This window comes from Homo sapiens, chromosome 7 (genome assembly GCF_000001405.40).
Source record: "Homo sapiens chromosome 7, GRCh38.p14 Primary Assembly".
Taxonomy (NCBI): Eukaryota; Metazoa; Chordata; class Mammalia; order Primates; family Hominidae; genus Homo; species Homo sapiens.
In genome coordinates this window covers 44,413,085-44,436,382 of record NC_000007.14, presented here as the reverse complement: position 1 = coordinate 44,436,382, position 23,298 = coordinate 44,413,085, and the positions used below count along the sequence as shown (strand labels likewise).

At 44.2% G+C, this 23,298-nt stretch overlaps 1 protein-coding gene across 4 annotated transcripts in view; it reads left to right on the top strand.

The window, feature by feature from the left end:
* Positions 1–23,298, top strand: part of NUDCD3 (NudC domain containing 3) — a 111,540-nt gene that overhangs the window by 54,276 nt on the left and 33,966 nt on the right. For 2 of the 4 annotated variants that reach the window (NM_015332.4, XM_011515247.3), the window contains exon 3: positions 8,680–8,812. In NM_015332.4, the coding sequence (NP_056147.2) occupies positions 8,680–8,812 (133 nt within the window). Of the gene's footprint in view, positions 1–8,679; positions 8,813–10,103; positions 12,313–23,099; positions 23,188–23,298 lie in introns of those variants that run through there. The other 2 variants (XR_007059994.1, XM_017011908.2) reach the window with 2 other exon arrangements.

The window sequence follows — 23,298 nt, the reverse complement described above, 5'->3', positions numbered from 1 at the left end:
CATAATGAACGCCCACGAAACTTTCACCCTGCTTCATCACTTAGCAACACGACATGGTTGTTGTTTCATCTTTCTCCCTACTCTCAGACTTTTGGTTTTGTTTTTGATAGAACAAATCCCAGACATCATGTAATTTCACCCGTAAATACTTCAATAAGAAATAAGGACTTAAATTTAATATAATTATCTTATCTTACAAATTTGTAATTCCTTAAAATCATCTAATACCCAGTCTATATTCACATTTTCCTGATTGTCTCAAAAAATTTTTTTTTCTTCAAATTAGCATCCCAGCAAAGGTCTAAACATTGAATTTGATAGATCTTATGATTCTTAATTTAGGGTAGTTCCCCTTCTCATTTTTTGTCCCATGCCACTTATTTGTCCAAAAAACTTAGAACTTAGCCTGTTATAATTTCCCTGATTCTAGATCTGGCTGACTGTGTGCTCCTGGTTGTGATGGCCATGCTTCTCTGCCCCTCGTCTTTATTGTAAAGTGGTATTCAGACCTGTAGGTTGGAATGGATTCGAGGTCCTGTGTTGGGGGCAGGGGTACCCAATAGGCAGGCCCTCTCAGGAGGTACATGGCATGTGTGTCACAGATATTTGGGGTGTTCTGGATCCTTCTGTCACAGGTTCCTCCTCAGCTTTTCACCTGGTGCCCACCAGGAATGAATGAAAGTTGCCAGACTCATTGCCTTCATTACAGAAGATGGTGCAAGATAGTGATGTTCTCATTGTGTTTTACATTCTTTGCTTATTATCTGGAATTCTTATTTAGGGGCATGGCCTTTCTGAAATTACAGTTCCTATGGAACCATTTTATTGATGACTTTTCAAGTTGAGCTGTTCTCTGATCACCAAAGGTGACCCCTGGAGATTTCGTTTTATGAACTCATGGATTTTTCATATGCTACGTGCTTCAGTCCATTGTGGACTTTATTTATTTATTTCTGATTGTCCCGTCTTTGGCCAGCAGGGAGCCTTCTGAAATTGGCTCATGTGTCCTTTCAGCATGACCCTCCTGGTCTTTGACAGTTCCCCACTTGTAAGGAAGACGGCTAGGCTTACCGTGTGTGTTCTGGTCCCAGGTTGGGGACTAGCTACATCTCCAGGAACTCTGGCTCTCCTCTTGGTGAGTTAGCATTGTCTTTAAAGTAGGCAGGCTACTGTCATTGCAAGACCAAAGTGTGGTAGATGCTAAACAGATAACAATCAGGTATTGATAAAATTATTGATACTAGATTTTTAGAAAAATCTAAAAAAAGTGTAGAATTATTAGGCAATAAAGAAGTGTAGAATTACTAGGCAAAAGACATAACTTCTCTCTCCAAATGTCTCAGAGGGTTCAAGAATCATCCCATAGTCATAAAAGCTGCTCAGTGAGTTCTTTCCATAGCCAAAGACTTTCTAAAGGGAAAGCAGTGAGTGAGAAAGCAATACTGAGTGTCACGAGACCTTGTTTTAGTCATTTTAAATGGTTTGTTCCTCACAGCTACCTTTTGGGAGAGATGCTATTAGTGTTCCCATTTTATAGGTCAGGAGACCAAGGCACAGAGAGGCTGAGTGACCTAGTCACCGTTACCTGGTTGCTGTGCGGGGAAGCTGGGCTTGACCTCAGGTTGGACACCACGGACACACAGAGCATTCAGGGAAACTGCTTGACTGCTAGGGGACTGGCTTGGAGACATTGATTTGTAGGACATACTTGAGACCAGAGCCCGTGGCCTGGGGTGGCTGCTTGCTGCATTGGCATCAAACCTTTTGTGTGTCTGGCTGAGGTGGCAGGGTATCCACAGTTGGCCTGATATTGCGGGGCGGGGGGGTCACATCCCTGCTAGTAAAGAAGCATGAACTTAGAAATAATGCATCCACAACAATGAAAGGAGCCTGGCGGGTAGGGGAACCTCAGTGAGAGCTGGGCAGCAGGCAGGGAGGCACCACCCTCTAGACAGACGAATCTGGCAAGAGTTGCAGGAAGGCTGGTTAGTGTGAGGTGCTTGTCTGTGTGGAAGCCTGGGAGTAGTGACTGGCTCCAGCCTGTCCCTTTGTAAGTGAAAAGGTTGAAGGCTGCAGAGGCCAAGACCAAGGCCCAGGCTACGTCTGGGTTGCTGGCGTTGGGGCAGACCTGGCAGCTGGGGGCCCAGGGCTGGGGTCCAGGCATCGAGTCATTTTTGAGCACTGAAATCAGCATGAGTGGACGAGCTCTCAGGAGTGAACACTCCTAGGAAGATAAAACCGAGAAGTAGGAAGTGGGCCTGGCAGACCATGAGTTTTAGGCTTCAGAAGCAGGGCAGTGGGCCTCAAGGATGGGTCATTTTTATAATAATGCTTATTTTGTAAAGCTTTGAAAATGAAGAAACCCAGAAGAAAATTCACCGTATTTCCATCAGGTGGAAGAAATCTTGAGTTGAGATTGAGCATAGGCAGAGAAGAGTTGACAGATGAGGAGGAGGATTCATTTGTGGGAGCAGGAGGAAAAAGGGAGGAAGGAGTCATGACGACTCAATCATGGGCTACCTCGAGTGCCTTGCTGAGGCCCTGGCCTTGTCTCCTGGGCCGTGGGGAGCCATATGAGGTTGTTGAGAATAATGTAATCACAGTGGCATGTGAAGAAACTGAGAAGAGACGCAGCCATGGCTGCCATCCAGGTGTGGGATGTGCCAGGTCAGTGAGATGAGAAGAAAATTGATAAGAGACAGGTGAGAATTTCAAGGGAGGGAGTGAGCCATGTCTGCTGGTTGCCTCATACCCATGGCACGTACATCACACACATATATACTGCGTGCCCATACTATACCTTATGCACGCATATGCACACTGTGTGCATACATGCATACCACACACATGCACATAGCACACACACACTGCATGCCCACATGCACCACACACACATTGCATGCACATGTGCACCACACACATACACCACACACACAAACTGCACACACAGTACATGTGCCCACATGCACATGCAGGTACACATGCACCAGCCGCATGCATGTGGCACACACACATTGTATGCACACACGTACCCCACACACACATATAGTGCACACATACTTTTACCACACAGTGCACTGCACACATGCCACACACATGTACTATACACACACACACACATGTTGGCCTAGTCCATTTGGGCTACTATAACAAAATAGCATAGCCTGGGTAGCTTCTGTGAGAAATTTACTTCTCACAGTTCTGGATGTTGGAAGTCCAAGATCAAGGCACCAGAAGATTCAGTGTCTGGGGAGGCCCTGCTTCCTGATTCATGGACCTCTGTTTTCTTGTGGTGTCCTCCCATAGTGGAAGGGATGAGGAAGCTCTTTGAGGCCTCCATGTAAGGGCACTAATCCCACTCAGAGCCTCCACCCTCATGACCTAATCACCTTCTAAAGGCCTTACCTCCTACTGCCATCACCTTCGGGGTTAGGATTTCAAGATACACGTTTTAGGGGAACACAAACATTTCAGACCCTAGCACATATATGTACATTGCACCCAGATGTTGTGGGACCTCTCCTGAGGGGACAGTGAGGTCAACAGGTGGTGAGGTGTGATGACAGCTCTTACACCTGGGATAATGGAAGGAGATGAGGGTGACAGGGATGTTGTCATCTTTGCACAGAGTAGTGGCTTTTGCGCAATGTAGTTAAGGGCAATGTAGTTAAGAGTGTGAACATTTAAAGGGTAGACAGGATTGATTGCAAGAGACATGAAAGAACAGCTGTATTTGGGGTGGTGGAGAGGGGGTTGACAAACCGGGCCTCAATCACTGAGCCCCAGGGGGCGGGAAGTGGGGAGCAGCAAGCTTGACATTTCTGTGCAAACACCTCCGCTTTGGAATCACTGGCTGTGACTTGGGGAGCCAAACCTTGCCTTTAGTCAGGCAGTCAGTGCCTATCATAGGCATTCTCTCTCTGGAGAAGAGCTTGAGGTCAGCCCTTGTCTCATTGAATTATAAATCTATTATAGGTTTGGGGCTCTAGCTTCCTAGACAAAACTCTTCAGGTTAGGTCTTTGACCTCCTTTTACTCTTCATTTTACATACTTGCCACTAGCTTTTTGAAAATCAGAATTGTCTGATCCTGTTTTGTTTTAGAGACAGGGTCTCATTCTGTCATCTAGGCTGGAGTGCAGTGGTACAATCATAGTTCATTATAACCTTAAACGCCTGGGCTCAAGCTATTCTCCCACCTCAACCCTCCGAGTAGCCAGCACTACAGGTGTGTGCCACTATGTGTGGCTAATTTTAAAATTTTTTGTAGAGATGGGTCTTCCTACGTTGCCCAGACTGGTCTCAAACTCCTGGCCTCAAGTAATCCTCCTGTTTTGGCCTCCCAAATCGCTGAGATTGATTGCAAGTGTGAGCCTAGCCTAATCCTGTGGTTTTTAAAAACAAATGGAAGGAGGCTGGGCACGGTGGCCCACGCACGTAATCCCAGCACTATGGGAGGCTGAGGCAGGCAGATCACTTCAGGTCAGGATTTCGAGACCAGCCCGGCCAACATGGTGAAACCCTATCTCTACTAAAATATAAAAATTAGCTGGGAGTGGTGGTGCGCACCTGTAATCCCAGCTACTCTGGAGATTGAGGCAGGAGAATCATGTGAACTTGGGAGGTGAAGGTTGCAGTGAGCCGAGATCGTGGCACTGCACTCCAGCCTGGGTGACAGAGTGAGACTCCGTCTCAAAAAAAAAAAAAAAAAAAAAAGGAAGGAGAGAGGACCTTTTTGTTTCTAGTGGCAGCACTCAAACAGGCAGATTGGGTAGGTCAGTTTCCTGACCATGAGTCTCAGGAACCCGGTCAGAAACCTCACCTACTCAGGAACTGCTTGTCTGCATGACAGTGACTCCTGGTGGCAGTGCTGCTAGCTCTCCCTGTGCAGGTGACCCTGGTGCCTGGCTTGCCACACTCAGGAGCGCCTAGGCCTGCAGTCTGCCAGGAAGGGTCTGGCCTATCCCCAAGGAGACAGAGGGCCCTGCTACCCACAGCACCCAACAGAGCCTGTTCTGTGTTTTTCCTTTAACACATTTAGAACCTTGTTATCCCAGCTCATCAGGAGTGGGAGCTGCAGGGAGACCTACTCCATAATCTTCAACCTGACTGCTGACTCACTTTCCTACTCCCACCCTTGGTGCTGAAGCATGGATGCTCCCTCCCCTGCCTCCTACCATGTGCCCAGGCCTGCAGCTGCAGGGGTGACCAACAGTGGCACAGTGGGGGCCAGAGACACCTGCACTTGACAGGATGCTTATTTTTACATACTGTTGGCTGGAAATAATCAACCTTATTTAAATAGAATGTGCATTCAGAGCACTATAAAAAGCACCCAACAACTTGCAAGGGCTGTTTTAGGAGTGATTCTCCTGCTTCCTTTGGAGGGAATCTGCAGGTTCCATGCAAGAGGAGCCAGGCCAGGGCTACTGAGGACACGGCAGGAGGATGGGGTTAGGCAGGTTCTGTGTGATCAGAGCCCTTTCCAAAAGCATACAGCTTTACTGCAGCGTGTAGTGGCAAGGGTGTCAGATGTCCCCCCTCACTCGAAGGCAGAGACTGACAGCCTTTTGCCCTGGAGGAGGCAGAACCCATGTGGGCATCACTGGTGGTATAGGCCAAGTGACTGCACTGTTGCTGGCGGCAGCGTCCCCAAGGATATCCCCCGGCATTATACTCATTCTCCTTTCTTGAGAGAGCCGTTTCTTTTTCCCAACTTTTGAGGAGTCTTCATGTTTACTCCCTGATCTCTGCCAAGTGCTGGGGCCATGTTGGTCTTTTGTGTGTGTGTGTGTGTGTGTGTGTGTGTGTGTGAGTGTGTGTGTGTGTGGGTATTTTATTTATATATTTTCACAATTTTGACTTTTTTCAAATGGTAATGTATGTACAAAAGTGTCAATGAAGAGAAGTCTCCAGTTTCCAGCCATAAAGGTAGCTGCTGCTACCCTATTGTTCTTTTGGAGATATTCTCTGCATGTTTAAGCATATTTATGTCAGATATGAGTCTTAAAGCTGCTGTCAGTGCTCACCTAGAAGGATCCTGTGGAAACTTGGGGTCTGGGTGAGTCCCCCTCTCTGTGTCTGACTCCTTCGTACCCTGCTCCAAGGGTCAGGCTAGTGCTGCTGCCGTGGCCGTGGGACCGCACCTGGGTACAGGGGCTGCAGGGTGCATCACTGTCTCCTGTTAGCATTTTTTAAAGAGAACCATTTTTCTCTTGGCTATAAAAATGTCTACATATTCTAGGGAGTTTGGATAATACCTAGGTACAAAGAAGAAAGATTCCTGTTACTCTACTATCAGAGATAACCACAAAAATTTAATGTGCTTCCTTTCAGTCTTTTTCATATATATGTGCACACTTGTGTGTATATTATATATTTCTTCTTAGAAATTAAAGTCATACCATACTTAAAAGTAATAATACCCACTTTTCAGTTTTATGGTATATTGAAAGCTTTCTTCATATTACTAAATAGTCTTTGAAAATATGTTTATTGGTTGCATCTAAATCTTTCTTTTGCTGTCCATTTTCAACCTATTGAGCATTCTTTAGTTTCCTTCCCCCCACCCTCTTTTCTCATGTCATTCAGTCAGGAATCCTATGTAACTCCTGGTTTCTGTATGTCATCTCTCTGTCCCACAGTGGCCCGCCTGTGTGAGTAGTTTAAGGCTAACATCTCTTCCGATTGGTTAGTGCCTAGTCCTGCCAATATTCAGTGCTGAATTTTGAATATCACCTCTGATTGAAATTAGTTTCCTTAGCCACTGTGTTTGCTCAGGCTACCACAATAACGTACCACAAAATGGCCGGCTTAAACGAAAAATGTTGATTCTTCACAGTTCCTAGAGGGGAAGTCTGAGATCAAGGTGTCAGCAGGGCCATGTTCCCTCTGAAGGTCTTAGGGGAAGATCTTCCCTCTCCTCTTCCAGCTTTAGGTGGTGGCCTGCGGTCCTTGACGTTTTTTGGCCTATAGGCACATCACCCCATTGTCTCCACATGGCCTTCACGTCATCTCTCCAAAGTCCCCCTTTTAAGGACATCAGTCATAGTGGATTAGGGCCCACCCTAATGACCTTGTTGTAACTGCATCACCTGTGTAAAGACCCTGTTTTTATTAAGGTCACATTCTGAGGTCCTGGGGATTAAGATTCCAACATAGCGTTTTAGGGGACCCAATTCAGTTCTTAACAGCCACTATTGCCCAGCCCAGAGGACTCAGGCCGTGGTGGAGGCCCAGCTTCATGCATAGACAGTGTGCAGGGCATACCCACAGTAGGTAAATATGTTCTTGTCTTAGAACTCTGGCCAGAGAAAGCCTGCCCTCTTGAACCACCCCTTCCCAATCCTTGTCTTGTATGTGCATCTATATAGATGTAGATACATGTAGTTTTGTGTTTTCCTGTGTGAACCAGATCATAGTGCACACATTGTTTACAAGCCCATGGGGCCGTCTCCCTGCCAGGTTTTGTCTGCTAATCTCTGAGCAGGCCCTGGAGAAGTTGACTGAGATGCACCTACTGTTGGAATGTTCTGTGTTCATAGCTGCTGCCTTCTCCATGACTAGGCTTTTGTCTGTAATTTAGATCTTCAGTTCACTATAATGGACTTGTGAGTCTAAACTTACATAATGTTTATATTATTAGCATTGTTACATTTTATGGAAAATATTATATTTTATTTTTAACATCAGCTTCTTCTTGGTAGGCCTATCTGTATTTAGTGCTGTGTTTATAACAGGCCTATACAATAAGATTTGCTTGATTGAGTTTTTTAGGCTGTCTCATTAAACATACTGCTTATGTCTTAACAATGATGCATACAATTTTAATGCAGTCCTTTTAGCTGTGATTTATTTACTATGAAAAAATAGAGGCTAGGGGTTGGATTAGGATTGAAGTTTAGCAGCTGCAGGATGAAGTGGTTTTGCCTTTTTTTTTTTTGAGCAGAGTTTTGCTCTTGTTGCCCAGGCTGGAGTGCAATGGTGTGATCTTGGCTCACTGCAACCTGCAACCTCCGCCTCCCAGGTTCAAGCGATTCTCCTGCCCAAGCCTCCCAAGTAGCTGGGATTACAGGCATGTGCTCCCATGCTCAGCTAATTTTTGTATTTTTAGTAGAGACAGGGTTTCACCATGTTAGCCAGGTTGGTTTCAAACTCCATACCTCAGGTGATTCACCCGCCCTTGGCCTCCCAAAGTGCTGGGATTACAGGTGTGAGTCACCACGCCTGGCCTCTTTTTTTTTTTTTTTTTTTTTTTTTTTAAAGATTGACCCTGCCAAGCAGTTTATAAGAAACCAAGGACTCATGAGCCTAAGGATTTTATTAATAAGAGCCCTCTGGTTAATTAACAGGCCTGGATCTCAGTACTGTGAAGGCTGGCAGTACCAGCTATGGTTTGACTGTGGTCACAGACACTTTTCCTAAACTGTAGGATGCTGCACTGGGGTTTCTTTTCTGTAGCTTTGCCCTTGTCCTGTGATTTCCATGGGTACCATGTAGGAGGGTCAGAAAGGAAATCACCTGAAAAGAAGAGGAGTTTGCAGATGCCAGAGCCAGTGAACTTGAGATGAAACTTGAGTTGGTCACGTCTCCAGGATGTAGGAGTGGCATGGGCTAGGCTGCCCATGGGGTCCTCTGCTCAGGCATGGCTGACTGGGATCACATTTTTTATTCTTTCTCAGGATTCAGGAGCAGTTCCAGAAAAATCCCGACAGTTACAATGGTGCTGTCCGAGAGAACTACACCTGGTCACAGGACTATACTGACCTGGAGGTCAGGGTGCCAGTACCCAAGCACGTGGTGAAGGGAAAGCAGGTAATGGCCTTGGCGGGTAGGGGTGGGCGGCTTCACCCAAGCCAGTCAAAGCTGTTGCAGGGAAGACCCACCAGCATCCTTGAGGGAGTGTTGAGATCGGCTTTAGGATGTGAGGTGTGTTCCTTCTCCTGCCCTCGGAATGAGCTGAGCACACCATCCTTGCTCCCCTTATTCTGTTTGTGAGGTTCTCCCAGCTCTTCTGCAGAAACCTCCCTTTGGGGATGGTGAACCCTGTTCACACTGCTTCCTGAGAGAGAAGCCCACACATCTGATGTCTTCACCTCTTTTATAAATACAGCCATAGACTCTCCTGGGGTTCCTATTGTAGATGGCCAGCTTCTCAGTTTTCAAGGGAATACTCAAACATTATTACCTTGGTGAATTCTCTTTTTTCCTAAAGATTAAATCTGCCTTCAGTTTCCCTAAGAAAAGTCCAGTCTACTAAACGCACAGTGATAGCTAACATACATTCACATAGCATCTGTCATGTGAGTTTCCTGGGCTTTGCCAGCCCAGGGTCTAATAAACTCAAATTAGACAAAATGACACAGTGGGTAGCACCTCCCCGTGTATGGTGATGAGCCATGCATCACAGAGATGAAAGGTTTATGATTTAATTCTCCACAACCTTTAATCACAGGAGAGAGCTCTAAGACTCTGCAGTTCTCTCAGGGCAACAACATGGCTGCACAGGAGGGATGGAGGGAGGGACAGGCCCACCTCATCCCAGCGTCCCCACTTGCTTCCCTTGCTATTTTTTTTTTTTTTTTTTTTTGAGACGGAGTCTCGCTCTGTCGCCCAGGCTGGAGTGCAGTGGCGGGATCTCAGCTCACTGCAAGCTCCGCCTCCCGGGTTCACGCCATTCTCCTGCCTCAGCCTCCCAAGTAGCTGGGACTACAGGCGCCCGCCACTACGCCCGGCTAATTTTTTGTATTTTTAGTAGAGACGGGGTTTCACTGTTTTAGCCAGGATGGTCTCGATCTCCTGACCTCGTGATCCGCCCGCCTCGGCCTCCCAAAGTGCTGGGATTACAGGCGTGAGCCACCGCGCCCGGCCTCCCTTGCTATTTTTTTATTTCCTCCATTCACATAGGTGGCATGCATGTGCTGAGGATAAGCTTCCTGATCCCCACACCCTCTTTTCTAAGGTTGACTTGGAGTCCTCTAAGGGCATCCCATCCCTGCCGGGGCCAGCCACCTGGTGTCACTCCCTGTGCCTCTGTTACTGCTTAGCGGCGTGATGGGTAGGTCTGTAGTTTGTGCACTGATACCAACCATTCTCCTTTCCCCAGGTTTCTTTTATGCCTCCTCAGGGAACAGGTGTCAGGCTGTGGGCCTTTGTTCCCCTCAGCAACAAACACAAAATTTATTTTTCTTCAGCTACAAACACCCGGTCACCCCCCTTTAAACTACATCAGGTCATGGGTGAGACCCATTGAAGCCCCATCCAGTCCTGAGAGGCAAAGCAAAGAACCCAGGTCACAGCGATGAAGTGGACGGCCAGGCCTGTGTGCTGTGGGGCTCTTCCATGGAGCAGGGAGCCATGTCCTATAAGTACCGCATGCTAACCGATTGCGCCACTGGAGCCACACCATGTCATGATGTACCTGTAACATTCGCAACTTGAGTTTCAAACACTAAAGTTTCTGAAACCTCCATCTAATGAGTTTAAGTGAGTAGACGTTTAATCTTTTTTAATTTTTTGATAGAGATGACCTCATTCTGTCACTCAGGCTGGAGTGCAATGGCATGATCGCAGCTCACTGTAGCCTTGAACTCCTGGGTTCAAGCTATTCTCCCACCTTAGCCTCCTGAGTAACTGGGACTTCAGGTGCTTGCTATCATGCCTGGTTAAGTTTAAAAAAAATTTTTTGTAGAGATAGGGTCCTGCTGTTTCCCAGGCTGGTCTTGAACTCCTGGCCTCAAATGATCTTCCCACTTCAGCCTTCTGAGTAGCTGGGATTGCAGGTGTGAGCCATTGTTCCCAGTGGAAGTTTAATCTTTTAGTGGGAGAGAGATGTCTACTCAAGGAATTGTGATAAGAATAACATTATCATAGGTTGTTGTAAATAGATAATTTCCACTTTAAAAAATCTCAAGTAACAATGCAAAATGGGACATTACATAATTTAAATCCATAATATAAAAAAATTTGATATATGCCAGAAACTGTATCCATGTTTCCTTCTTCATGAGAACCTGCAACCTGTGAAGTAAGTAATTTCATTCTATTTTGTTGTAAATTTCTTTTTTTAAATTTTTATTTTACTTTAAGTTCTGGGATACATGTGCTGAACATGCAGGTTTGTTACATAGGTTTACATGTGCCATGGTGGTTTGCTGTGCCTATCAACCCGTCATCTAGGTTTTAAGCCCCGCATGCATTAGGTATTTGTCCTAATGCTCTCCCTCCCCTTTCCCCCGACCCCTTGGCAGGCCCTGGTGTATGATGTTCCCCTCCCTGTGTCCATGTGTTTTCATTGTTCAACTCTCACTTATGAGTGAGAACATGCAGTGTTTGGTTTTCTGTTCCTGTGTTAATTTGCTCAGGATGATGGTTTCCAGCTTCATCCATGTACCTGCAAAGGACATGAACTCATTCTTTTTTATGGCTGCATAGTATTCCGTGGTGTATATATGCTACATTTTCTTTATCCAGTCTATCATTGATGGGCATTTGGGTTGGTTCCAAGTCTTTGCTATTGTAAATAGTGCTGCAGTAAACATACATGTGCATGTATCTTTATAGTAGAATGATTTATAATCCTTTGGGTATATATATACCCAGTAATGGGATTGTTGGGTCAAATGGTATTTCTGGCTCTAGATCCTTGAGGAATCACCACACTGTCTTCCACAATGGTTGAACTAATTTACACTCCCACCAACAGTGTAAAAGTGTTCCTATTTCTCCACATTCTCGCCAGCATCTGTTGTTTCCTGACTTTTTAATGATCGCCATTCTAACTGGCATGAGATGGTATCTCGTTGTGGTTTTTATTTGCATTTCTCTAATGAACAGAGATGATGAGCTTTTTTCCATGTTTGTTGGCCACATAAATGTCTTCTTTTGAGAAGTGTCTCTTCATATCCTTTGCCCACCTTTTGATGGGATTTTTTTTTTCTTGTAAATTTGTTTAAGTTTCTTGTAGATTCTGGATATTAGACCTTTGTCAGATGGATAGATTGCAAAAATTTTCTCCCATTCTGTGGGTTGCCTGTTCACTCTGACGATAGTTTCTTTTGCTGAGCAGAAGCTCTTTAGTTTAATTAGATCCCATTTGTCAATTTTGGCTTTTGTTGCAATTGCTTTTGGTGTTTTAGTCATGAAGTCTTTGCCCATGCCTGTTCCTGAATGCTATTGCCTAGGTTTTCTTCTAGGGTTTTTATGGTTTTAGGTTTTATGTTTAAGTCTTTAATCCATCTTGAGTTAATTTTTGTATCAGGTGTAAGGAAGGGGCCTAGTTTCTGTTTTCTGCACATGGCTAGCCAGTTTTCCCAGCACTGTTTATTAAATGGGGAGTCCTTTCCCCATTGCTTGTTTTTGTTAGGTTTGTTGAAGATCAGATGGTTGTAGATGTGTGGTGGTATTTCTGAGGCCTCTGTTCTGTTCCATTGGTTTATATATCTCTTTTGGTACCGGTACTATGCCGTTTTGGTTATTGTAGCCTTGTAGTATAGTTTGAAGTCAGGTAGCATGATGCCTTCAGCCTTGTTCTTTTTGCTTAGGATTGTCTTGGCTATGTGGGCTGTTCTTTGGTTCCATATGAAATTTAAAGTAGTTTTTTTCTAGTTCTGTGAAGAAAGTCAATGGTAGGTTGGTGGGAATAGCATTGCGTCTATAAATTACTTTGGGCAGTATGGCCATTTTCACAATATTGATTCTTCCTATCCATGAGCATGGATTTTTTTTCCATTTGTTTGTGTCCTCTCTTATTTCCTTGAGCAGTGGTTTGTAGTTCTCCTTGAAGAGGTCCTTCATGTCCCTTGTAAGTTGTATTTCTAGGTATTTTATTTTCTTTGTAGCAATTGCGGATGGGAGTTCACTCATGACTTGGCTCTCTGCTTGTCTATTATTGGTATATAGGATTGCTTGTGATTTTTGCACATTGATTTTGTATCCTGAGACTTTGCCGAAGTTGCTTATCAGCTTAAGGAGTTTTTGGGCTGAAACAGTGGGGTTTTCTAAATGTACGATCATGTCATCTGCAAACAGAGACAATTTGACTTCCTCCCTTCCTATTTGAATACGCTTTATTTCTTTCTCTTGCCTGATTGCCCTGGCCAGAACTTCCAATACTGTGTTGAATAGGAGTGGTGAGAGAGGGCATCCTTGTCTTGTGCCGCTTTTCAAAGGCAGTGCTTCCAGCTTTTGCCCATTCAGTATGATATTGGCTATGGGTTTATCATAAATAGCTCTTATTATTTTGAGATATGTTCCATTAGTACCTAGTTTGTTGAGAGTTTTTAGCATGAAGGGGTGTTGAATTTTATTGAAGGCCTTTTCTGCATCTTTTGAGATGATCATGTGGTTTTTGTCACTGGTTCTGTTTATGTGATGGATTACATTTATTGATTTTCATATGTTGAACCAGCCTTACATCCCAGGGATGAAGCCGACTTGATCGTAGTAGATAAGCTTTTTGATGTGCTTCTGGATTCAGTTTGCCAGTATTTTGAGGATTTTCACATCGACGTTCATCAGGGATATTGGCCTGAAATTTTCTTTTTTTGTTGTGTCTCTGCCAGGTTTTGGAATCAGGATGATGCTGGCCTCATAAAATGAGTTAGGGAGGTAGGGAGGAGTCTGTCTTCTTCTATTGTTTGGAATAGTTTCAGAAGGAATGGTACCAGCTCCTCTTTGTACCTCTGGTAGAATTCGGCTGTGAATCCGTCTGGCCCTGAGCTTTTTTGGTTGGTAGGCTGTTAATTATTGCCTCAATTTCAGAACTTGTTATTGGTCTTTTCAGGGATTTGACTTCTTCCTGGTTTAGTCTTGGGAGGGTGTGTATGTCTGGGAATTTATCCATTTCTTCTAGATTTTCTAGTTTATTTGCATAGAGGTGTTTATAGTATTCTCTGATGGTAGCTTTTATTTCTGTGGGATCAGTGGTGATATCTCCTTTATCATTTTTTATTGTGTATATTTGATTCTTATCTTCTTTCTTCTTTATTATTCTGGTTAGTGGTCTATTTTGTTAATCTTTTAAAAAAAACAGCTCCTGGATTCATTGATTTTTTTCTAAGAGTTTTTCATGTCTCTATCTCCTTCAGTTCTGCTCTGATCTTAGTTATTTCTTATCTTCTGCTAGCTTTTGAATTTGTTTGCTCTTGCTTGTCTAGTTCTTTTAATTGCAATGTTAGGGTGTCAATTTTAGATCTTTCCCACTTTCTGATGTGGGCATTTAGTGCTATAAATTTCCCTGTTAACACCGTTTTAGCTGTGTCCCAGAGATTCTGGTATGTTGTCTCTTTGTTCTCATTGGTTTCAGAGAACTTCGTTATTTCTGCCTTAATTTCATTATTTACCCAGTAGTCATTCAGGAGCAAGTTGTTCAGTTTTCATGTAGTTGTGCGGTTTTGAGTGAGTTTCTTAATCCTGAGTTCTAATTTGATTGCCCTGTGGTCTGAGAGACTGTTTGTTATGATTTCCGTTCTTTTGCATTTGCTGAGGAGTGTTTTACTTCCAATTGTGTGGTCGATTTTAGAATAAGTGCTATGTGGTGCTGAGAAGAATGTATATTCTGTGGATTAGGTCAGCTTGGTCCAGAGCTGAGTTCAAGTCCTGAATATCCTTGTTAATTTTCTGTCTCGTTGATCTAATATTGACAGTGGGGTGTTAAAGTCTCCCACTATTATTGTTTGGGAGTCTTAAGTCTCTTTGTAGGTCTCTAAGAACTTGTTTTATGAATCTGGGTGCTCCTGTATTGGGTGCATATATATTTAGGATAGTTAGCTCTTCTAGTTTCATTGATCCCTTTACCATTATGTAATGCCCTTCTTTGTCTTTTTTGATCTTTGTTGGTTTAAAGTCTGTTTTATCAGAGATTAGAATTGCAACCCCTGCTTTTTTTTTTTTTTTTTGCTTTCCATTTGCTTGGTAAATATTCCTCTATCCCTTTATTTTGAGCTTATGTGTGTCTTTGCACATGAGATGGGTCTCCTGAATACAGCACACTGATGGATTTTGACTCTTTATGCAATTTGCCAGTCTGTGTGTGGTTTTTTTTTTTTTTTTTTAGACGGAGTCTTGCTCTGTTGCCCATGCTGGAGTCAGTGGCGCAATCTTGGCTCACTGCAACCTCTGCCTCCCAGGTTCAAGTGATTCTCCTGCCTCAGCCTCCCATGTAGCTGGGACTACAGGTGCACGCCACCATGCCCAGCTAATTTTTGTATTTTTAGTAGAGACCCCTGTCTTCACCATATTGGCCAGACTGGTCTCGAACTCCTGACCTCGTGATCCACCCACCTTGGCCTCCCAAAGCTCTGGGATTACAGGTGTGAGCCACCACTCCTGGCCCATCTGTGTCTTTTAATTGGGGCATTTAGCCCATTTATATTTAAGGTTAATATTGTTATGTGCGAATTTGATTCTGTCATCATGATGCTAGCTGGTTATTTTGCACATTAGTTGATGCAGTTTCTTCATAGTGTTGTTGGTCTTTATATTTTGGTATGTTTTTGCAGTGGCTGGTACCGGTTTTTCCTTTCCATATTTAGTGCCTCCTTCAGGAGCTCTTGTAAGGCAGGCCTGGTGGTGACAGAATCTCTTAGCATTTGCTTGTCTGTAAAGGATTTTATTTCACCTTCACTTATGAAGCTTAGTTTGGCTGGATATGAAATTCTGTGTTTAAAATTCTTTTCTTTAAGAATATTGAATATTGGCCTTCACTGTCTTCTGGCTTGTAGAGTTTCTGCAGAGAGATCTGCTGTTAGTCTGTGGGCTTCCCTTTGTAGATAACCTGACCTTTCTCTCTGGCTGCCCTTAACATTTTTTCCTTCGTTTCAACCTTGGAGAATCTGACGATTATGTGTCTTGGGGTTGCTCTTCTCAAGGAGTATCTTCGTGGTGTTCTCTATATTTCCTGAATTTGCATGTTGGCCTGTCTTGCTAGGTTGGGGAAGTTCTCCTGGATAATATCATGAAGTGTGTTTTCCAACTTGGTTCCATTCTCCTGTCACTTTCAGGGACACTCAGTCAATCGTAGGTTTGGTCTTTTCACAGAGTCCCATATTTCTTAGAGGCTTTGTTCGTTCCTTTTCATTCTTTTTTCTCTAATCTTGTCTTCACACCTTATTTCAGTAAGTTGATCTTCAATCTCAGATATTCTTTCTTCTGCTTGATTGATTTGGCTGTTGATACTTGTGTATGCTTCACGAAGTTCTCATCCTGTGTTTTTCAGCTCCATCAGGTCATTTGTGTTCTTCTCTAAACTGGTTATTCTAGTTAGCAGTTCCTGTAACCTTTTGTCAAGGTTCTTAGCTTTTTTGCATTGGGTTAGAACATACTCCTTTAGCTCAGAGGAATTTGTTATTATCCACCTTCTGAAGCCTATTTCTGCCAATTTGTCAAACTCATTCTCTGTCCAGTTTTGTGCCCTTGCTGGAGAGGAGTTGCGATCATTTGGAGGAGAAGAGGCATTCTGGTTTTTGGAATTTTCAGCATTTTTGTGCTGGTTTTTTCCTCATCTTCATGGATTTATTTACCTTTGATCTTTGAGGCTGATGACCTTTGTATAGGGTTTTTGTGTGGGGGTCCTTTTTTTTTGATGTTGATGTTGTTGCTTTCTGTTTGTTAGTTTTTCTTCTAACAGGCCCCTCTTCTGCAGGTCTGCTCCAATTGGCTGAGGTCCACTCCAGACCCTGTTTGCCTGGGTATCACCAGTGGAGGCTGCAGAACAGCAAAGATTGCCACCTCCTCCTTCCTCTGGAAGCTTCGTCCCAGAGGGGCACTGGGCTAATGCCAGCTGGAGCTCTTTTGTATGAGGTGTCTGTCAACCCCTGTTGGGAGATCTTTCCCACTCAGGAGGTGTGGGGGTCAGGGACCCACTTGAGGAGGCAGTCTGTCCCTTAGCAGAGCTCGAGCACTGTGCTGGGAGAATCCTCCTTGTCAGGATCTGTTGCTCTCTTCAAAGCTGGCAGGCAAGAATGTTTAAGTCTGCTGAAGCTGCGCCCACAGCCGTCCCTTCTCCCAGGTGCTCTGTCCCAGGGAGATGGGAGTTTTATCTATAAGCCCCTGACTGGGCTGCTGCCTTTCTTTCAGAGATGCCCTGCCCAGTGAGAAGGAATCTATAGAGGCAGTCTGGCCACAGCCACTTTGCCACGCTGTGTTGAGTTCCACCCAGTCCGAGCTTCCAGGCCTCTTTAGCACTGTTAGGGGAAAACCACCTACTCAAGCCTCAGTAATGGCAGGCGCCCTTCCCCCCACCAAGCTCGATTGTCCCTTGGCTCCCTGGCTTCAGCCTCCTTTCCAGGGGAGTGAACGGTTCTGTCTTGCTGGGGTTCCAGGTGCCACTGGGGTATGAAAACAAAAACAAAAACCAAACAAAAAAAAAACTCCTGCAGCTAGCTCAGTGTCTGCCCAAACAGCCTCCCAGTTTTGTGCTTGAAACCCAGGGCCCTGGTGGTGTAGGCACACGAGGGAATCTCCTGATCTGCAGATTGCAAGAACCTTGGGAAAAGCTTAGTATCTGGGCTGGATAACACAGTTCTTCACAGCTTCCTTGGCTGGGAAAGGGAGGCCCCCTGCTCCTTGCACTTCCCAGGTGAGGTGACGTCCCACCCTGCTTCTGCTCACCCTCTGTGGGCTGCACCCGCTGCCTAACTAGTCCCAATGAGATGAACAGGGTACCTCAGTTGGAAATGCAGAAATCACCCACCTTCTGCGTTGGTCTCACTGGGAGCTGCAGACCAGAGCTATTCCTATTCAGCTGTCTTGCCAGATCCCCCCATATCATTCATTCTATTTCATAGATGAGAAATTGAGGCTGAGAGAAGTTACTGAATCATCCAAGTTAACTTGGAAAATCCACAGTGTCATCTCCCTTGTTGTTATGCCTGGAACAGTGAGCACTCTGGATAAGTTTTTGAATGAATGAATAGCTGCATGAATGAAGTAGCAAAGCTGTGGTTTGAGTCAGGTGTGTCTGCTTCTAAACCTTATGCTTTTCCCTCTGTGCCACCCTCCTTACTCTATACATACAAGTGGTGCTGGCTTCTTAGAAGGAGAGACTGTCCTGGAACACGTCTCATGTGCATTTATAGGAAATGAACCTCTCTGTATGGTGGGGGCAACTTGGCTTGCACCTTGCATCCCACATGGTGACAGTAAGGTGACTAGGCTTAGTCCCATTCCTGCCTCGGCTGGGTAGGTGTGAAGTCCAGGCTGGCCTGGAGCTGAGTCCCTCTGGCCCTCCTGTCCTGTGCCTTCCGACTCCATGACCACTCCCTCTGCAGTCTCTCCTTCATTCTCCAGGGGCCACTTGAAATAGGTAGACATGTCCTAAACCTGCCCTGTGTGTAGGAGTTTGGGTGGGGTCCATGGCATCCCTAAGAAGACTGAGACTTTTGCAAGTGCCCTGTGCCTTTAAGGTACCACAGGCACAGATCAGTGAGTTGCTGGTGGCCTGGCTTCGGCAGCAAGTAGCTGTGTGCTCAATTTTCCCTTCTTCCCACCCCACATCCCCAGTATATCTCTTACCAGCAACTGGTGACCTCTAGAATCATAGACTTCAGTATAATTTTAAGATCAAAGTCAGACCAGATCACTAGGGATCATCCACACGGAATTCTATTTTCAAATGACTACTTCCTGTCTGTTTTTAATAGGCCAGGAGCAGGAGCTAATAGCTCTTCCCAAGTAGTTTATCCAGAATTTTGGGGTTTTAGTGGGTTAGGTGTTGATTTCCATTTCATTTTTTGTTAGTATTGCCGTGTATGTAGTTGAATAAATTAGGAAAAGCATCGATTGCCATGCTTCATTCACTTGGCTAAAAAAAATTTACAGTTTCCTGGTCCTTTATCTGTCTTCTGAACTGCTCTATGAACCCCTGGGGCTTTCTCTGAAAGGGTTTGTATTAGGCCCAAGCTAAAACTGGTTATTTTCTCTTTTTTTGACTCAAGAGACCCAGGTTAGCTAACAGCTTTCACCATACTTTGCACAGCTACCTGGGACAACTCCCCACTGGAAATGGTGTCTCAGATATGCTTGTTGACTATCTGGGATGTTGATGCCATGATTCTTCCCTGTGGTCGGCACCGTGTTATGAGGGTCCTGCCCTGATGTCTTGTCTGAAGTTCAGATTTACACCTCTCTCAAATGCACTTATCATGACCTCTAAGATGATGTGGCTCTACTATCACCAAGGATAACCCTGGATTTGGCTCATTCTACATTAGACGTTTTCTAAACGTGTGGGCTGTGCTTTGTCCCAGGAACTGGGCATGTGGGAGTCACCAAGACAGACAAGATTGCTGGTTTGGAGCTTATATCCCAGTGGGGTACAGCAGTAAAAGTCAGTAAATAAATGAGCAAGATGGAGGCAGGTGCCGTATAGAACCTAAAAGTGGGTGGTTTGTGTATTTAACCAGCACTCGTGTGGTGCCCTCTCTGTGTCTTGAAATAGTGAGTTGTCCCCCCCAGTCCTCCTATCATGCAGGCAGTCGCTGTGCACCCATGAGGGCTACTGAGAGCTGTGTGTGCATGGTCTCAGCCAATAAGAGCCAGGTCACAATCAAGGCTTGCTCTGGAGCTAGTGCTCTCTCTCACCTCAGAGAAGGGTCGAAGGTGAAGTTTGGTTATAAGTATCAGGATAGAAGGATGGAAGGAAGGGACTTCTTTTTTCAGTGGCTTATTTAATAGTGGCTTGCCTTATTTATTTATTAACACGGTATATCTATGTGACAATAGGCCTTTTGTGATGCTCGCTGACCTAATTTGTACTGGTGACCTGCCTTGGTGGCATGCTTCATCTCCTATGGGGTTGGAAAAACTTTTTTCTCCTTCAATAGTATTTTTTTTCCCCATGTCATTCTTACAACACTGCAGACCTCTTATTTTTTTTATTTTTTATTTTTTTTTGATTTGGAGTCTCGCTGTGTCACCCAGGCTAGAGTGCGGTGGCGCCATCTTGGCTCACTGCAACCTCCGACTTCCTAACTGCAGACCTCTTTTAAAAATTCTTGGCTTGGCATGGTGGCTCAAGCCTGTAATCCCAGCACTTTGGGAGGCTGAGGTGGGCAGATTGCTTGAGCCCAGGAATTTGAGACCAGCCTGGGCATCATGGTGAAAGCCCATCTCTACAAAACAGCACAAAAAAAATTTAGCTGGGGATGGTGGCACGCTGCTGTAGTCCTAGCTACTTGGGAGGCAGAGGTGGGAGGATTACCTGAGCCCAGGAGGTCAAGGCTTCTGCGAACTGTGATTGTGCCACTGCACTCCACCTTGGGCAACAGAGTAAGACCCTATCTCAAAAAATAAATAAAATAAAGTAAAAATAAAAATTCTTGGTCTCTTAATTGCTGAATGATTTTTTTTTTAGTCGTACCTCACTTAAAACTTTGGAAAAAGTTTATTTTGTATCTCTTGGATTTTGCTTGTCTAAGTGTTTTTCTTCAGAGCTGTACTTTCTTTCTGGCCTGGCCAGTTATTCCCTAAGTCTACCTGTCACGGTTGCCTGTCAGCAGTGTTTATTTTTGTTTTTTGTCTGTGGCACCTATGGGACATTGTCACGATGGTAACCCCGGCTGCAACAACTCAACTGATAAAATCAGAATCTGTTCTGGGTTGGTGATTCAGGGGCTTTGCTTAGGCAGCCCAGTGTTTGTGTTGGGGCTGTGGATAGAGCTTCACAGGAGAGCCAGATCCTCTACTCTCCAGCTGTAGCTTGATGCAGGCATTATCAGAGCTTTGCCTCTCCTGGAGTTTCTCATTGATCCCTTTTCTGTAGAATGGGTATGATGAGTTCACACTTGCTCTCTCAAGGGTAGTAGGAGACAAATAAGAGTGTATGCATAATGCTTTATGTTCTTTAGAAGAAAACTAGAAAGTGTTCCTATTTTACATCGTAACATTTAAAAAAAATCATCTTGCTAGTGAATCTGAAAGAAAACTTCTCAAAATGAAGCTTTTAATTTCATACATTAGTAAAATGTGGTTAGGTCTTTTCCATCACATGTTCTTTGCTCAATCTACTCTGCTCTGTTTAGGAAAAGCAGCTGACTCCCTCTCTCTCTCTCTTCAGTGTACCCACAGAATAGAGACAAGGAACTTTGAGTTAATGACAGATGTTTTTGTGATTGCTCATGTCAGACCTGGGTGATTATAAACCTGGCATTTCATTGAATCACAGAATTGGAATGCTTTTGAAAATTAAACTCCAGAGATTTTTAGTTTAACCTCTCATTTTGCAGATGAGAAAACTCTCATGGTGGGTTGATGGTAGATCATAGACCAGAACCAAGGTCCCGTCACCTCCACCCTGTTTTATGGCCTTATTGCAAATGAAGTCATGATTGGATGTTATTGAGTGACAAGTGAATCTGTTTCCCTTGAGTCTTCTTCCTCTCATAGATTGTGAGTGGTCCTGCAGGCTGGTGCAGTCACTGTTGTGACCTGCCATCTTTGTCCTCACCTTGGGTACCTTTTGGAACACCACCTTAGCCACTAGGTGTGTCATTTATGGCTCTAACTGATCCCCAGGCTTAGATTCGTAGTGAGGCCTTGCCTGTGAGCTTGATGTAAGTGCTGGAATTTGTGTTAAAAGCTCCATAACGTGTTCTTAGAAGTTGCTTAGGAAAAAATGCAGGAAAACGTTTTATTATAGGAAACTTCCATAACAGAAAAGACTAATAGACTGCATTATTTTTGTATTTACATAATTTTTGAGTGCATAACACATTTATATGTTCAAAAGCAAAAACTTGTATAACAACACAAAAATCCCTGTCCTGCCTCTGTGTCTTTTCTGTCTTGTCCTGACCCCTCCCCAGCCAGCCCTAACCTAAGTCATCACATAACTGGTTTTGGGGATATTTCAACAAATATTTTTATGCATGTATAATCAAGTATGAACATGTATTGCTGTGTCCCCACCTTTAGCACAGATGGTGCATTCCACTTTTTAAGATGATCTTACTGCCCCTGCCCAGTGTCATTTTGGCCGCACCAAAGTGACTCCCATCTCTTTTTACTTCCATGTCCCCAAGTGCCTGAGGGGTGCCCAGTAAATTCTAGGTAGACTTTGCTTTCCCTGGTCATCTGGCTCAAGTGCCCCAAACCCACCATCCCTCACACCTGGGACTCCTGTTCTTTGCTTTTGCCCCCTTCAAACTATAGGCTGATTATTAAACCACCCTCTTGTTAATGGACATTTAGGTTGTTTCCAATCTTTCCTGTTGTAAACAATAAAACAATGCCCTTTAATAAACTTCATTTTGCGTATATGCATTTTCATATAGAAAAAATTCCATGAAGTGTAGTTGCTATATTGAAAGGTATATGTATTTCTAATTTCTTTCTTTTTTCTTTTTTTTTTTTGAGACAGGGTTTTGTTCTGTTACCCATCATGGCCCGCTGCAGCCTTGTCCTCCCTAGGCTTAAGCAATCTTCCCATCTCAGTCTCCTGAGCAGCTGGGACTACAAGCGTGCACCACCATGCCCAGCTGATTTTTTGTATTTTGTAGAGATGGGGTTTTCCTTTGTTGCTCAAGAAGCTGGTCTTGTACTCCTGGGCACAAGCAGTCCATTTACCTTGGTCTCCCAAAGTGCTGGGATTACAGGCGTGAGCCACCACACCCGGCCTGTATTTCTAATTTCTGTAAGTGTTGCTAAACTATCTTCCATATGGGGTTATACTAACTTACATATCCATCAACAATGTACAAGAGCCCTTGGTTTTTCACAAATTTGCTGACAATAGTATGTTATCAAATTTTGGGGTTTCGTAAGTTGAATAGATGAAAAATAGTATCTATGTGTAGTATGAATTTGTATTTCTCTTAGAGTGAGGTGGAGCATCTTTCTACATGTGCCTATCCTTTGAACTAGTTATATCTTTTGCCCATTTTCTATTAGGTTGCTGTACTTTTTCTTACTGATTTCTAGGAGTTCTGTATATATTAGAGAGATCAGTCCTTTGTAGGTGATATGTATTGCAGATCTGTTTTCCCATTTTGTTATTAACCTTTTGAGTTGATTTATATTGATTCTCCCGTCTCAGCCTCCCAGGTAGCTGAGACCACAGGCACGAACTGCCATGCCCAATTAATTAAAAATTTTTTTTTTGTAGAAATGGAGTCTCCCTGTGTTGTTCAGGCTGGTCTTAAACTCCTAGGCTCAAGTAATCCCCCTGCCTCAGACTCCCAAAGTGCTGGAATTACAGGTATGAGCTGCCATGCCCAGCCTCACCTTACTAATTTTTATGTATTCAAGTTAATTGGTTCTTTGTTTTTTCATGGCTTCTGAAATTTGAATCAGGATTAGATAGG